General features: G+C 45.9%; 1 protein-coding gene across 9 annotated transcripts in view, besides 4 other annotated features; it reads left to right on the forward strand.

Moving 5' to 3' along the window:
* TSPAN14 (tetraspanin 14) overlaps positions 1-16,496 on the forward strand; it is a 68,322-nt gene that overhangs the window by 13,236 nt on the left and 38,590 nt on the right. For 3 of the 9 annotated variants that reach the window (NM_001351267.4, NM_001351266.2, NM_001351270.2), the window contains one exon: positions 1,002-1,142. The exons of 4 other annotated variants lie outside the window; for them this stretch is intronic. The gene's annotated coding sequence lies outside the window, so the exon portion shown is untranslated. Of the gene's footprint in view, positions 1-695; positions 784-1,001; positions 1,143-16,496 lie in introns of those variants that run through there. 2 more of the 9 variants (NM_001351272.2, NM_001351271.2) reach the window with 2 other exon arrangements.
* Positions 3,698-3,937: an enhancer, noted in NCBI's record as "active region_3660". NCBI's record gives its function as "activates an Ori minimal core promoter by ATAC-STARR-seq in GM12878 lymphoblastoid cells {active_cell/tissue: GM12878}" and the evidence as "EXISTENCE:reporter gene assay evidence [ECO:0000049][PMID:35858748]".
* Positions 3,948-4,017: an enhancer, noted in NCBI's record as "active region_3661". NCBI's record gives its function as "activates an Ori minimal core promoter by ATAC-STARR-seq in GM12878 lymphoblastoid cells {active_cell/tissue: GM12878}" and the evidence as "EXISTENCE:reporter gene assay evidence [ECO:0000049][PMID:35858748]".
* Positions 4,718-4,947: an enhancer, noted in NCBI's record as "active region_3662". NCBI's record gives its function as "activates an Ori minimal core promoter by ATAC-STARR-seq in GM12878 lymphoblastoid cells {active_cell/tissue: GM12878}" and the evidence as "EXISTENCE:reporter gene assay evidence [ECO:0000049][PMID:35858748]".
* Positions 5,580-5,629: an enhancer, noted in NCBI's record as "active region_3663". NCBI's record gives its function as "activates an Ori minimal core promoter by ATAC-STARR-seq in GM12878 lymphoblastoid cells {active_cell/tissue: GM12878}" and the evidence as "EXISTENCE:reporter gene assay evidence [ECO:0000049][PMID:35858748]".

The following is a 16,496-nucleotide window of genomic DNA, read 5'->3' on the forward strand; positions in this document are numbered from 1 at the left end:
GTTCTATTAATCTAACTCCAAAATGGTTCTATTAATCTAACTCCACTACCTGGAATCTCTCTTGCCAACTCAGGATCCTTTGGAAGAAAATGTCATCAGATGGAATTAACAAAGAGCCCCTCTTTTCCTGGGCATTTCTTCCTCAGGTTCTTGAGGGGTGGTGATGATCACCTCAAAAGATGCCTGTAGTTTTCAAGTGGAAACCGAGCCACCCTGAGCCCAAACACACACTCCCAGTGTTCAGGCGCTGAGTGTGGCCCCTGGAGTTCACTGATGAGTAGTCTTACCTTGGACCTCGCCTTGGCTTTTCTTGGAAATGGCACATTACTTTTGTTTATTAGTGTAGCCCCTCTGTTGTGAAGTGGAATCCAGGGAGAGGGAAGTAAAGCTTTTAATTTTACCTCTTGCCAAAGTGAGGCCAAGCTCTTAAATGTAAAAACAAACTTGTTAAAAGTAAAAATGAAAACAATATCCCCATTCCTCTTCTTTGGGGGTGGAGACTGTGTTTAAATTTTGCCTCTATTTTGTCAACAGGTTCTAGGAGACAAAATGTTCTTTTCCTGGTGACCTTTCAGGCTGGGTTTCTGCCCTTTATGTGCCTTTCCTGGCCCAGCCTCCATCCTCTGGGCCCGCCCACCCAAACCAGCACTGCCTACCAGGCCCCCCTGTGCCTGTTGCCCGTCTGACTTCCTCCCATTGTCTTCGGGGCCAGCCTGTGTCACTGCTCTAGGCTGTGTTTCTGCCGGCACGAACACAGGAGGGCGGTGGTCTTGGAAGAGGCAGGTCTCTATCATTTGGTTAGAGTAGCTTTTACAGCTGAGAAATGGGAATAAAAATAATCTGTGAGGATCCATTGGGATGCAACAAAATCCCAAACAAATCCCAAAATTAAAGCATTCCTCCAGGGAAGCTGATTGCATCCTTGTAAATCAGGAACAATAAAGATGGGTGGCTTTCTTCCCATGACTTGCTTTAATGGTTGTTTTCCTTCTGTGTGTCAGCGTTACATCCTTACTATTCAAAGTGCCATCCACAGACCTGCTGATGGGCAGCATGAGCATCACCTGGGAGCTTGCTGCGCTGTAGAATCTTGAGGGGTCTCCATCCAGATCAGCTGAATCAGAGTTTGCATTGTTAACAAGGTAACCCAAGTGATTTGAATGCTTTTTTAAATTTTTTTTTTTTTTTTTTTGTGAGATAGGGTCTGACTGTGCGCTCAGTGGTACAATTAAGGCTCACTACACCCTTTATCTCCTGGGTTCAAGCGATCTGCCAAAGTGCTGGGATTACAGGCCCAAGCCACCATGCCCGGCCTGAATGCACTTTCATGTTTGAGAAGCACAGCCTCAGCCAGCCACACTGTCATGCTTGCCCCTTCGCTTTGTTAGCCTGTTTCATGGTTTTGCAGTCTTTACCCACTTGCTTTCCTGTTTAAAGTTGTCGACTTTAAACAGGTTTGGCAGCCCCAGCTCTCAGTCCTTCCCCTCTGGGTGTGCAGTGCACAGCAGTTATTCCTCGGTGCCGGGGATGTCTTGGAAATGGAGCTAGTTCGAGAAAGCCCCCTTAGCCCAGAGCCCTGCTGGTGAGGTTATCTTTGGGGCATGGGGGTGGGGGTAGGGATGGGGGGGTAACTGGAGCCCTCCTGGGTGAAAGGGCAGCCCTAAGCCTCCCTGGCCATCTGGTGCCACTTGCCCTGCCCTGTTCCAGCTGGAGAACAGGTTCAGAATCAGGTTGTAAATATTGTTTGCTTTTGGAAGAAACACAAAGCATTTTCTATAAAGATGTTTTGGTGTATGTTGAAGATAAATAAATAGTCCAGAAGAGGGACTGTAAATTTGTATTTTGTAGTAGTTTTGCAGCAGAAAACAGTTTGAGGTGCTCTCCTGATTTCACTTTACGCCTGCACATCCCCTGCATTCTGGCGAAGGTTGGGGCTTTGTGGGGAAGAGCTTGCTTCCCTGGGAATGAGACCCTGACTCTCCTGCTCAGCTACCCAAGGGCTCCCCTGCATTTCTGGCTCTGTTTTAGGGGATGATCTGCTTTCTCCTGACTCTTGATTTCCTCTCAGCCTTTTCCAGCAGTTTCTCACCATTGATTTGCAGTTTAAAAAATTCTGCCGCCTCTTCCTCCTCTCTTTTGACATTCACAAGGACACACTTAGTTTTATTTTTCCCCACTGGGCTTCACTTTTCATGGCTTCTTTGGAAAGGATTTTTGTTTGTTTTGTTTTAGCTCTGTAAATCTTTTTCCCCCAGGCTGGGGGAGCCAGGCCCTGGGGTGGGCTGGAAAGTGTCCCACCCTAGACTCAGAAGTTTTCCAGATTGCCGTCCTTTGAGGTGGGTTTTTTTTGTCTTAAAACACAGTACAGTTGTCCCTTGGTGTCCTGTCTCCAAGGGAGATTGGTTTTAGCCCCAGCACTTAGTAGTGTTTGCATATAACCTATGTACTTCCTCCCATATACTTTAAATCATCTCTAGATTACTTATAATAACTAATACAATGTAAATGCTATGTAAGTATTATATAATTTAAAGCATTTGTAATTTTTTTTTCTTTTTGAGACAGAGTCTTGCTCTGTTGCCCAGGCTGGAGAGCAATGGTGCGTTCTCAGCTCACTGAAATCTCCGCCTCCCAGATTCAAGCAATTCTCCTGTCTCAGCCTCCTGAGTAGCTGAGACTACAGGTGTGCGCCACCAGGCCTGCTAATTTTTCTATTTTTGTTAGAGACTGGGTTTCACCATATTGGTCAGGCTGGTCTTGAACTTCTGACCTCAGGTGATCCACCTGCCTCCCAAAGTGTTGGGATTACAGGTGTGAACCGCTGCGCCCAGCCTTTCCTGAATACTTTTGATCCTGGTTGCTTGAATCTGAGGATGTGGAACCTGTGGATATATGGAAGACTGACAGTATATTCTAGCTGACTGTGCAATTTTGTATAAAAAGATTTTTAAGCATCTTACAGCCATAATCTTTATGCCTTTCAGGCGTGGAAACATAGAGAATGAGGAGTAAATATAATTCTAAACTCTCTTATGTAGTTTCTTTGTGACCTGTACAAAGAGAACACTTCAAATCTACATTAGGCATGTAGGTCAAATCCCTGCAGCCTACTGGAGCAGCTCCTGTAACAGCCAGCTTTTAAAGACCCAGTTATTGGAGCAAAGTTTGTTTCTCCCCAAGAATGGGCCACTCATCACTTGGAACATCTATGGTGTTCAGGAGTGGCTCCCACCCCAATGGTGTCAGCCCTGCAAGGATGACCATGCTGGTTTTGTCTTGGTATCATCTGCAGGGCCCAGCCTGGAGCTGGGGATGCACTGAAGGCTCTGTTAATAATCTTCATTGGAGGGTCAGTCTCGGGGTGAAACAGTTGCCTGCTGCCAGGTCGGGTTGCAGTGTGTCCCTCCCTATCTTTAGGCACAGCTCTCGATCCCAAACTGGGGAGCTTCTAGATGTGCTGCCCTCATCTAGTACAAATTTAAACTAGCTGCTTTAGGGAGCATTTCCTGACCAGCTTGCCACCACCACCACCTCCTTCTCTCTGCCCTCCAGCACCTACTTGACTGCACTTAGTGAAGGGAGTCATGTTCTGAGTTCCCTGAGTCAGGCACAGGTCCCACTCTGAGTTGGTGTTTGTCTCCACGGCCTCATTCTCGGTGTCTTACATGCAGCAGTGCCCTGAACATGTAGAAACAAGTCTTTAGGTGTTTGTCTCCCACAGCAAAAGTCTTTTCACCCCATGGGCTTGGCAGGCGAGCCTGTGCACTGATGGATTGCTGGGTGGTTTGCTTCAACCTTGCTGATCTAGGGAGGCCACAGGGCCCAGCCCAGTCCTCCTGAGGTCTGGAGGCACAGCACCTTGGACTCCCTGGGTTCTTGTTCACATTGGGAATACTAGTGTAGACTGGGCCCAGACTCTCCACGTTTGTTTGCAACTAGCTGAGGAAGAGGCTCTGATGTGCTCTTACCAGGGGCATATAAAAGGATTCTGTGTATAGACATTTCATGTAGACTTAGATTTTCAGAAACAGGCCTGTCATGATGATCAGGGTATGGGTATAGGACACGTGCACTATGCCTGCTTTGGCCTAGCATCCTCCCTTGAGTGGGCAGCTTCACCTTCAATGGCAGAGGGAAGTAGGTTGGGACATCAACTTGGAAGTCAAGGTGCCAGGCCTCCTTTTGCCTAGCCATTTGAGAAGTGGGGGTGGGGTGGGTAGCAGGTGTGGGGTGAGTGGCAGGTGTGGGTGACCAGGCCCTGCCTCACCTAGGTGGGCAGGTGTTGCCCTGAGGCTGCTGGTGCAGTTGAATGAGCTGCCTGATGAATCATTCTGAAAATCTCTCATGGGTGCTGGGCGTGGTGGCTCATGCCTGTGATCCTAGCACTTTGGGAGCCCGAGGCAGTAGGATGGCTTAAGCAGGAGTTTGAGACCAGCCTGGGCAACATAGGGAGACCCCATCTCCCTATGTAGCTGGGACTGCAGGTGTGCACTGAGGTAGGAGGATCACTTGAGCCCAGGAGGTCAAGGCTGCAGTGAGCTGTGACGGTGCCACTGCACTCCAGCCTGGGTCACAGAGTGAGGCCCTGTCTCAAAAACGTAAAAGTGAAAATCTCCAATGGGGCCCAAGGCCTGAATGTTTTGTTTGCTTTTTTTTTGTTCCTCCAAGAAGGACCACAAACTCTATGTTTCAGTTACTTGAAGCCAGTTATTTTGTAGTATCTCCCTTAATTTAAGTTTGTTTGTTGTTTCCTCATGGTTAGCTGCAAGTTTTGCAGTTTTGTAAGGAATACTGCGGAAATGGTGAGTTCTAGGTGCATCCCCTTGGGAGGCACATGATGTGGGTCTGAGTCATTACCGGTGATATTGACAATGATCGCTTGCTTATGGTGATGTCTGCTGGGTTTCTCCCCTCTAAGTTACTATTTTGTTCTTTGTAAGTGTCCTGTGGGGAGATACTTTGAGATTATGCAAATACAGTATGCTATTTCACATCAAACTCATGACTGGTTTTAGGACCCATTGCAGATTCTTGGCACAGTCGGTTGTTTCTGTCATGGGTGTTGAATGCGATGATTTAATTCCATAATTCCTTCTACATTTATCATTTAACTATACAGAACTGCTGTAGCTATGTATCATTGTGCTACACATAACTTTTCCTTCTTTCCTGTTTATTTATCTCTGTGTGTGTATTAGAATGGGCTCATGAATTCTTATTTTATTCAATGAGTTAAAATCCGTTGTTATTATTGTTTATTTTGCCGCTCAGATTGTTCCAGATTTGGCCAGTGGGGGCTTTTTCAAGCTGCTGTGAATGACAGCTCTTCAAAACATGCATTTCCAAGTCTATCACAGTTCTGTTGAACTAGTTGCCATATGATTCTGGAGGCAGCTCCTGAGCCGTTCTGCTGTCCTGTGGAGCATGGCGTCAGTCACAGTAGGCCCATGGTTTTTAGTGTGCACCTTGTGAAGCCTTCCTTTCCCCCAGCCACCTGAAGATAAAAGTGTCCTGCTCTGCCTGCTTCCATGTTGGGTTTCTGGGTCAGAGTTTCTTTGAACAAAGCCTCCTGTAGCTTAAAAAATAATAAAAATAGTAAGCTTGGAAGTCACTGGACTAGGTGACCTCCATTCCAGGCCCAGTGCTTCTCCCACTGAGGACTCCCCTGACTCAAATCCACCCACTCTGCTGCTTTCCTGATGACAGCACTGAGGTAGACAGAGGCCTCCTCTCACCAGGTTAATGAGGAGGCCCCTCGGTGTCCTGAAACTTGGCAGGTTTTGGGTTGTGAGTTTTTGGTGGTGGAAATTCACAGTGTTTCAGTCACTAAGATCAGGGTTTTTACAGGATGCCAGGCACTGAGACCCTCAGACCCTTTGGAGAGCCTGGTGGAGCTCAGAGCTGGGGCCCAGCCTCTCCTGCACCTGCATGTGGAGGCCATCCAGGGCTGGCGGTCAGGGGCTTGATGGCCTTGGAAGCTGGGGGCCCACCTTCCCCACACTGTGCCAGGGCAGTGTTTGTCACCCTGTGATAAAGGAGGGGATCCAGCCCCCCTGACGTTGTGCAGCTGTGTAGTGACTTCCCACAGTAAAGAGTCAAACTTCTTCACTCCAGTGAGCGGTTGCTGCCACCATGATGGGTTTTTTTTTTTTTTTTAAATTAAAGTTTTTTTTTTTCTTTTTTGTTGGAAACCACAGGTTCACATGCCACGGTGTCTGATTTTGCAGTGTTTCTGGTGGCCCCTGGATTTGGCGTTTGGGTTAATGAGGGAATGGGTCAGGGATGTGCATGGACAGTTCTGGCTCTAAGGGGTGAGTCAGAGAGAGCCGAGCCCCTCCTTCCATCCTCAGAGGGTGAGATTGCTGTGGGCAGCTGAGCAGCCTGCCCTGGCCTGCCTTAGTGATTCTCTCTCCTACTGGGGCCCATTCCCTTTCATATTCGCCTGCCCCCTCCTAGGCTTCTCTCCCTGGGCCTGCCTGTTCCTTTGGCCTGTGAATGTTCCTCAGCACCTAGTGGGCTCTAGAGACCCCCTTCTCAGATGGTAGGAATGTCTAGGCCCCAGGTGCTACTAGAGGTGCAGCAGAAACTCCGCCTTCCTTGGGGGATGTGGCTGCCCTTCCTTGGGATGGGCCTGTGATCAGGTCAGAGGCCAGTTCTGGGAGCCTCAAAGGCCAGGTGGTGTTGAAGGATTGGCTTCGGAGAATGAGAGGGAAGGAGAGATAGTAAGGATAATTTGGGGGCATGGGGTGTATGTAGCTCAGGATATGGGTGGTGGGTGTTGTCATTGTCACTTGGGTCCTTAGGAAAAAGAGGGGCCAGAGGAGGGGTGGGGTTGAAGGTAGAGAGCCAGGTAAGAGACCTTCAGACCTTCCCTGAGAGGTCATGAGGAACTGACCTGTGCCCTCAGGACGGGAGGGGAGGGGAGTGAGGGGAGGGGAGGTATTGGAGCGTGAGGAGTTTAGGAAAGCTCCTGAGTGTCTGGGTGGGTGAAGGCTGAGGGATTCTGGGTGGGGCCCCTTGGTCCATGCTTTGTCTGGTATTTGTGCCTGGTGCTTGTGTGGAAAGATGCAAATCTCTGGAACCATCAGCAGAGTAGTGTTGGAGGGTTGTGAGGCATGTGATTATCCCATAGGAGGGGCAAACACTCCAGGGACATCACTCTCAGGAAGCCTGGGGAGCTCGCAGTGCCTTTGTGCAGGGTCAGGCCACATGGTTTGAGCCTGGCCTTCCCAAATCTCAGTTCACTTTTCTCCACTGTCATGTCATCCGGCTTCCTTCCCTTGGGTTTTCTCTCCCCTCTTCCTCCCTCATGACCCCTTATTAGTATATAAAAAATGAGACTCTTGTCTCAGAGCTTCCCAAATTTTCATCTTATTCAGGATCTTAGTGAAATGCAGATTGAAGGGAATTGAGATTCCACATTTCCAGCAAGCTCCTGAAATGGGCATCGTCCAAACAGGGCCAGGCAGAATCGGGGGATGCTAAAGAACTGGAGGTAGAGGACACCCAGTTGGAGGGGTGCAGGCGGCCATCCTCCCCCTCTGAAGGTCCCTGTGGGAGGAGCCAAGGGCCTGACTTCTTTGGGTGTGGGGCTGCCAAGCACTGGCTGGAGTTTAATCTGGATCCAAGGCTCACAAACAGCTGGTTCTTAAGGGAGTGTCAGTGTTGCAGTGATGTTTGATAGAGCTAATCTGGCAATAGGACAGATAATGAGCTTTTCTGTAAATCTAAAAGTTTTGGGCTGAGCATGATGGCTTATGCCTATAATCCCAGCACTTTGGGAGACTGCAGAGGGAGGATCTCTTGAGCCAGGGGTTTGAGATTAGCCTGGGCAACATAGTGAAACCCTATTTCTACAAAAAATTAAAAAATTAACTTCGTGTGGTGGTACACACCTGTGGTCCCAGCTACTTGGGAGGCTGAGGTAGGAGGACCATGTGAAGCTGGGAGTTTAAGATCCTGTCTCTAAAAAGAGAAAAAAAGTTTTAAGTTAAAGGTCCACTCTGTTCTGAGTTGATGTTCTTTTTCTGCCCCCTTTCCCCATCCTTTTTTTTGTTGTTGAGACAGAGTCTCGCTCTGTTGCCCAGGCTGGAGTGCAGTGGCGCGATCTTGGCTCACTGCAACTTCCGCCTCCTGGGTTCAAGCAGTTCTCTGCCTCAGCCTCCCAAGTAGCTAGGATTATAGGCGCCTGCCACCACACCCAGCTAATTTTTGTATTTTTAGTAGAGGCAGGGTTTCACCATCTTGGCCAGGCCAGTCTTGGACTCCTGACTTTGTGATCCACCTGCCTCGGCCTCCCAGAGTGCTGGGATTACAGGCATGAGCCGTGGTGCCCGGCCTCCCCATCCTTTTTATACAGTCATCCCTCCACTGTCCAAGGGGGTTTGGTTCCAGGACATACCCCCTCCATTATGCCAAAATCCATAGATGCTCAAGTCCCTAATATAAAATGGTGTAGTATTTGCATATAACCTTCACACATTTTTCCCTAAACTTTGAACCATCTCCAGATTACATAAAAATATCTAATACAATGTAAAGGCTGGCTGGGTGCGGGGGCTCACGCTTATAATACAAGCATGTTGGGAGGCTGAGGCAGGCGAATTGCTTGAGCCCAGGAGTTCGAGTCCAGCCTGGGCAACATAGTGAGACCCTGTCTCTTAAAAAAAATTTAAAAATCAGTTGGGCTTGGTAACACACTCCTGTAGTCCCAGCTACTTGAGAGGCTGAGGCAGGATTGCTTGAGCCTGGGAGGTCAAGGCTGCAGTGAGCCCAGTTTGCGCCATTGCACTTGAGCCTAGGCGACAGAGCAAGACCCTGTCTCAAAAACAAAAGTAAATGCTGTGAAAATAGTTGTTTTACTGTTTTTTTTTTTTTTTTTTTTTTTTGAGACGGAGTCTTGCTCTGTCACCCAGGCTGGAATGCAGTGGCGAGATCTCTGCTCACTGCAAGCTCCGCCTCCCGGGTTCACGCCATTCTCCTGTCTCAGCCTCCCGAGTAGCTGGGAATACAGGCACCCGCTACCACACCCGGCTAATTTTTTGTATTTTTAGTAGAGATGGGGTTTTACCATGTTAGCCAAGATGGTCTCGATATCCTGACCTCGTGATCTGCCCGCCTCGGCCTCCCAAAGTGCTGGGATTACAGGAGTTTTACTGTATTTTTTACTTGTATCATTTTTTGTTTTGTTTTGTTTTTTTTTATATTTTTCAAATATTTTTCATTCCCAGTTGGCTGAATCCATGGATACAGAACTGTGGTTGCAGAAGGCTGACTGTATTAAATCTCACAATTTCTGTAGGTCAGAGGTCCAGGCCCAGCATAGCTCAACTTATTCCCTCCTTAGGGTCTCACAAAGCCCAAATCAAATTGTTGGCAGGGCTGTGCTTCTCTCTGGAGGCTCTGGGAAGAATCCACTTCTAGGCTCATTCAGGTTTTCAGCAGAGTGCAGTTTCTTGCTACATGTAGAACTGAGTCCTTGCTTACTGTCAGCCAGGGCTACTCTTAGCCCTTAGAGTCCCTCACTGGTCCTCGCATGTGGCCCCTGTACTCAGATCCAGCAACAGTGCATCAAATCCTGCTGCTGCTTCTCTGCCTTCCTCTTCTGCCCTCAACTGGGAGGAAGCTCTGCTTTTAAGGGCTCATGTAATTACATTGGATAGCTCAGATGATCCCCCTATGTTAAGATCAGTTGATTAGTAACCTTAATTACATGTGCCAAGTCACTTTTGCCCTTTCTTTTATGTAATAATGGACTATACTTCCTGATTTTTTCACTTTGCTAAATAAAAAGGTGGCAATTAAAAATACTTTGAAATGTTCCTAGAGGTCTTCTGGGTAAAAAATAGTGGTTTGAGTAGACACATGTAATTTTGCTTTCTCCTAAACCCCCACATAAGATAAAGGGAGTTGTAAAAAAGAAATCAATGCATGAGGACAGGGAGAATGAGAAAGAAAACAACAGCAAGAAAAATTTTGCAAGCAAAGAGTACATGAATGATTCAATTTAAAATGTAGGAGTGGATGGCATGAGATTTTTTTGTGGGGGGAGGGGAACGTGGGCATCAGAGGTTGCTGAGTACAAGAATAGTTTGAAAGCAGCTAATGCAGTTACATCCTTCCATCCCTTCCTTTCCTTCCACCGTGATGCTGGGTGATGGCCTCCGACTTTAGCTGCATGTTGCACATTTCTGCAGAAGGAAAAACCAAGGGCCCAGGAGCCTCCAGGTATTCTTGGGAGTTAATATAGAGACCACCTCCATTCTCTAGTCTTCTAACCCCTTTTAGCTTCTAGAACATTGACAGCCAGGCCCTTATAGATGAAAAGGGGCCTCACTGTGGAGTCTAACCAGCCTAAGATGGGAAAAAAATACAAATGATGCTGACAACAGGGATTTCCCAGCAAATGGCCCAACCAGATCATCCTAGACAGAAACTTAGCCGCCCAAGGACTCAGAGCTTCCAGCTGGTTCCTGAGTCATTCACTCTTAGTCATGCGGACTGCCAGGGATTACTAGATGGCTAAAGAAAGTGCCTAATATGAAGGAAAGCAAAACAAATGAAAAAAAGCAATTTGAAAGGAAGTCTATTTAGAGAAAAGAACATTTTGAAAAAAATTCTTGTATCCATGAAATAAGAACAGGATACAATAAAAAGGAACAGTTAGAAAACAAAGTTATCAGAAAATTTTTCAAAAATAAGAGCAGAGCAAAGATATCAGTAGTAGTATTAGAAAATAAAGTTCAGGGAGTCTTTCAGAAAATAGAGCAAACAGATGAGGAGATGAATAATAAATAAGGCAGAAAAGGTAAGAAAATTAAAGCATCAGCCAGGCTTCCCACATCAATTGATAGGAGCTAACCGAAAGGGAAAACAGAGAAGAAGGCAAGTGTCAAAATCATTGAGGAAAATATTGCCTGAAATAGGTTATTAGCTTCTCTATGGAGGGGCCTGTGGAATATTGAGCCAAGTAGTTGAAGGCAGACCCAGACTAGTACCCTCAGATGTCAATATGCTTGGAAGAAGGGGATGATGCTACAAGTTACACAGAGAAAGAAACAGGTCAAATACAGAGATCAGAAATCTGAGTGGTTTCGGGCTTCTCAATACATCTGAATATAGGAGGTGGGGGAGTGATGCCTTCATCATGCTCAATGAAATGGATCCCCAGCTTAGAACTCTGCACACAGCCAAACTCATTCAAGAGTGAAGGTATCCTGTAATCCCAGCACTTTGGGAGGCCGAGGCAGGCGGATCACTTGAGACCAGGAGGTCGAGACCAGCCTGGCCAACATGGCAAAACCCTGTCTCCATTAAGAATATAAAAATTCCACAATGGTTGAACTAGTTTACAGTCCCACCAACAGTGTAAAAGTGTTCCTATTTCTCCACATCCTCTCCAGCACCTGTTGTTTCCTGACTTTTTAATGATTGCCATTCTAACTGGTGTGAGATGGTATCTCATTGTGGTTTTGATTTGCATTTCTCTGATGGCCAGTGATGGTGAGCATTTTTCCATGTGTTTTTTGGCTACATAAATGTCTTCTTTTGAGAAGTGTCTGTTCATGTCCTTGGCCCACTTTTTGATGGGGTTGTTTGTTTTTTTCTTGTAAATTTGTTTGAGTTCATTGCAGATTCTGGATATTAGCCCTTTGTCAGATGAGTAGGTTGCGAAAATTTTCTCCCATTTTGTAGGTTGCCTGTTCACTCTGATGGTAGTTTCTTTTGCTGTGCAGAAGCTCTTTAGTTTAATTAGATCCCATTTGTCAATTTTGGCTTTTGTTGCCATTGCTTTTGGTGTTTTAGACATGAAGTCCTTGCCCATGCCTATGTCCTGAATGGTAATGCCTAGGTTTTCTTCTAGGGTTTTTATGGTTTTAGGTCTAACGTTTAAGTCTTTAACCCATCTTGAACTAATTTTTGTATAAAGTGCAAGGAAGGGATCCAGTTTCAGCTTTCTACATATGGCTAGCCAGTTTTCCCAGCACCATTTATTAAATAGGGAATCCTTTCCCCATTGCTTGTTTTTCTCAGGTTTGTCAAAGATCAGATAGTTGTAGATATGTGGCGTTATTTCTGAGGCCTCTGTTCTGTTCCATTGGTCTATATCTCTGTTTTGGTGCCAGTACCATGCTGTTTTGGTTACTGTAGCCTTGTAGTATAGTTTGAAGTCAGGTAGCGTGATGCCTCCAGCTTTGTTCTTTTGGCTTAGGATTGACTTGGCGATGCGGGCTCTTTTTTGGTTCCATATGGACTTTAAAGTGGTTTTTTCCAATTCTGTGAAGAAAGTCATTGGTAGCTTGATGGGGATGGCATTGAATCTATAAATTACCTTGGGCAGTATGGCCATTTTCATGATATTGATTCTTCCTACCCATGAGCATGGAATGTTCTTCCATTTGTTTGTATCCTCTTTTATTTCATTGAGCAGTGGTTTGTAGTTCTCCTTGAAGAGGTCCTTCACATCCCTTGTAAGTTGGATTCCTAGGTATTTTCTTCTCTTTGAAGCAATTGTGAATGGGAGTTCACTCATGATTTGGCTCTCTGTTTGTCTGTTATTGGCGTCTAAGAATGCTTGTGATTTTTGTACATTGATTTTGTATCCTGAGACTTTGCTGAAGTTGCTTATCAGCTTAAGGAGCTTTTGGGCTGAGACAATGGGGTTTTCTAGATATACAATCATGTCATCTGCAAACAGGGACAATTTGACTTCCTCTTTTCCTAATTGAATACCCTTTATTTCCTTCTCCTGCCTAATTGCCCTGGCCAGAACTTCCAACACTATGTTGAACAGGAGTGGTGAGAGAGGGCATCCCAGTCAGTGTGGCGATTCCTCAGAGATCTAGAACTAGAAATACCATTTGACTCAGCCATCCCATTACTGGGTATATACCCAAAGGTCTATAAATCATGCTGCTATAAAGACACATGCACACGTATGTTTATTACGGCACTATTCACAATAGCAAAGACTCGGAACCAACCCAAATGTCCAACAGTGATAGACTGGATTAAGAAAATGTGGCACATATACACCATGGAATACTATGCAGCCATAAAAAATGATGAGTTCATGTCCTTTGTAGGGACATGGATGAAATTGGAAATCATCATTCTCAGTAAACTGTCGCAAGAACAAAAAACCAAACACCGTATATTCTCACTCATAGGTGGGATTTGAACAAGGAGAACACATGGACACAGGAAGGGGAACGTCACACTCTGGGGACTGTTGTGCGGTGGGGGGAGGAGGGAGGGATAACTTTAGGAGATACACCTAATGCTAAATGACGAGTTAATGGGTGCAGCACACCAGCATGGCACATGTATACATACGTAACTAACCTGCACATTGTGCACATGTACCCTAAAACTTAAAGTATAATAATAATAAAATAAAAGAATATAAAAATTAGCTGGGCGTGGTGGTGCATGCCTGTATCCTAGCTACTCCAGAGGCTGAGGCAGGAGAATCTCTGGAACCCGGAAGGCAGAGTTTGCAGTGAGCTGAGGTTGCGCCAGGGCTCTCCAGCCAGGGTGAAGGAGTGAGACTCTGTTTCAAAAAAAAAGAGTGAAGGTAGAAAAAAAATGTTTCAGACATACTGGATGTGAAAAACTTGCCTTTCACATTGAAGAAACTCGTGAAGGTGAACAAAGACTGGATCTTCTTTAGGGTGTATCCCAAAAGATGTAAAGGGAATTCTGTGCACTGGTCCAGATGGAAGGATCTCCGAAGGCCCCAGGAGGATTTCTTTTTGAAGAAGAAATAGAAATAAAACATCAGATGTGAAAAAACTCAGGGTAGATTTAGACAACTGACATCAAATTTTCGGTTAAATATTGATAAATTCATAGAAAATTAAGCAAACAAAACAAGAAGTTGTACGGGAAAAGAAATGAAATCATGTGTTATGTTGCTCACTCTGATAGCTCACATGGTCATAATAAGGTCAACTATGAAAATTACTCCAGCCAGCACTGCAGTTTAATTAGTGGAGAGATTGGAAAGGACAAGCATGAGGGGTGGCTTGCAGGGAGAGGGATTTATGGGGAGTAAAGGGTTAAGTCCTCCTCTTCCAAGGTAGAAAGCAGATGCATAATGCGTAAAACTGAAAAGCTGGGGAATTGTAATACAAAATGGCGCGATCTCGGCTCACCGTAACCTCCGCCTCCTGGGTTCAAGCGATTCTCCTGCCTCTGCCTCCCAATTAACTGGGATTACAGGCATGGGCCACTGCGCCTGGCTAATTTTTTTTTTGAGACTGAGTCTCGCTCTGTCGCTCACTGCAAGCTCTGCCTCCTGGGTTCATGCCATTCTCCTGCCTCAGCCTCCCGAGTAGCTGGGACTACAGGCACCTGCCACCATGCCCGGCTAATTGTTTGTATTTTTAGTAGAGATGGGGTTTTACCATGTTAGCCAGGATGGTCTCGATCTCCTGACCTCGTGATCCTCCCACCTCGGCCTTGCAAAGTGCTGGGATTACAGGCGTGAGCCACTGCGCTCAGCCTACATGCAGACAGTTCTAAGAGATATTTGGGTGTAAACATCAAGAGTCAGCTAGAAGTTGGAAGTGTCACCTAGAAAGGGAAAACCTGACTTAAGGGCTGGGATCTGCTGTTTTCTCAACATGGTTTTTACAGTAGTTGATTCTTAGATTATGTGCAGTTATGATTTTGAAAAATGAATAGAAAAAAGCAAATCTACAATGCACGGCATGTGATAAGGGGACATATTTCACAAAACTGATTTTTATTTTTTTGAGATGGAGTCTCGCTCTGTGGCTCAGGCTGGAGTGCACTGGCGCAATCTCAGCTCACTGCAACCTCTGCTTCCCAGGTTCAAGCAATTCTCCTGCCTCAACCTCCCGAGTAGCTGGGATTACAGGCGCCCGCCACCACGCCTGGCTAATTTTTTGTATTTTTAGTAGAGACGGGGTTTCGCCATGTTGACCAGGCTGGTCTCAAACTCCTGACCTCAAGTGATCCACCTGCCTCAGCCTCCCAGAGTGCTGTGATTATAGGCATGAACCACTGTGCCCGGCCTCCACAAAACTCATTTTAGTTGTGCATGTGAGTGTGCGTGTGCACTGGATTGACTTTTGTTAAATGTATTTCTTACTATGGGTTGTGATAAGATTTGAAAACCCTTGTTTAGTGGTTTCTCATTGTCAGTTCACTTTTCTTTTCCTTTTTTTTTTTTTTTTTTTTGAGACGGAGTTTCGCTCTTGTTGCCCAGGCTGGAGTGCAATGGCACGATCTCGGCTCACTGCAACCCCCGCCTCTCTGGTTCAAGTGATTCTCCTGCCTCAGCTTCCCGAGTAGCTGGTATTACAGGCGTGAGCCACCACGCCTGGCTAATTTTGTATTTTTAGTAGAGATGGGGTTTCACCATGTTGGTCAGGCTGGTCTCAAACTCCTGACCTCAGGTGATCCACCTGTCTCAGCCTCCCAAAGTGCTGGGATTATAGGCGTGAGCCACTTTGCCCAGCCAGCCAGTTCACTTTTCACACTTATGAATTGTTGAGATATTTTACAGTTGAGAATGTGCTACTTTTTTAATTTAAAAAAGGGCAGGAGGGAGGAATATTAAAGGTGAGTACAACACTGAAGCCAAGGAGCCCTGTTTATGATGACTGCCAGCCTTATATATTGTAGCAAGCATTCTCCTTCCCAGCAGGGGCACCTCCAACCAGCAGCGGCCCCATTTTCATTTATAATACAAAGGTGGTAATGGTAAGTGTGATGCTGGAAACCTTTTTGGAAAATCACTTGTAAGTCCACCACCACCCCATGCAGCCATTTTCATGCTCTTAACATTCCACTTTGGCCTTTAAGCACATGCTTACAAATTGTCTCATAATTGCAAACCATGAGGTTCATGTTTCACTTAATGTGTATTCTTTTTCTGGAGGCAAATTCTTAGTCATTAGTTTATTGATTAAGGGTGTGACCTTTTTTTGGGTGGTAAATGTAACCATATTGCTACCAAATGGTAGTAACCGTTTCATCTGCTGCCAACAAGGAATAAATGTGTTTGCCACAATAGTGGTGGCAATTTTGTTAAATTAAAAAGTGTAAAGTAGGCCGGGTATGGTGGCTTATGCCTATAATCCCAGCACTTTGGGAGGCTGAGATGGGCAGATCACCCAAGGTCAGTAGTTCGAGATCAGCCTGGCCAACATGGTGAAACTCCTGTCTCTACTAAAAATACAAAAATTAGTTGGACATGGTGTCGGTCGCCTGTAATCTCAGCTACTCAGTAGGCTGAGGCAGGATAATCACTTGAACCCGGGAGGCGGAGGTTGCAGTGAGCCAAGATTGCACCATTGCACTCCAGCCTGGGCAACAAGAGCAAAACTCTTGTCTCAAAAAAAAAAAAAAAAAAAAAAAAAAAAAAAAAAAAAAAAGTGTAAAATAGGCCAGGCACGGTGACTCACGCCTGTAATCTCAGCACTTTGGAAGGCCAAGGTGGGCGGATTGCTTTGAGCTCAGGAGTT

The sequence above is a fragment of the Homo sapiens genome, chromosome 10 (assembly GCF_000001405.40).
Source record: "Homo sapiens chromosome 10, GRCh38.p14 Primary Assembly".
Classification (NCBI taxonomy): Eukaryota; Metazoa; Chordata; class Mammalia; order Primates; family Hominidae; genus Homo; species Homo sapiens.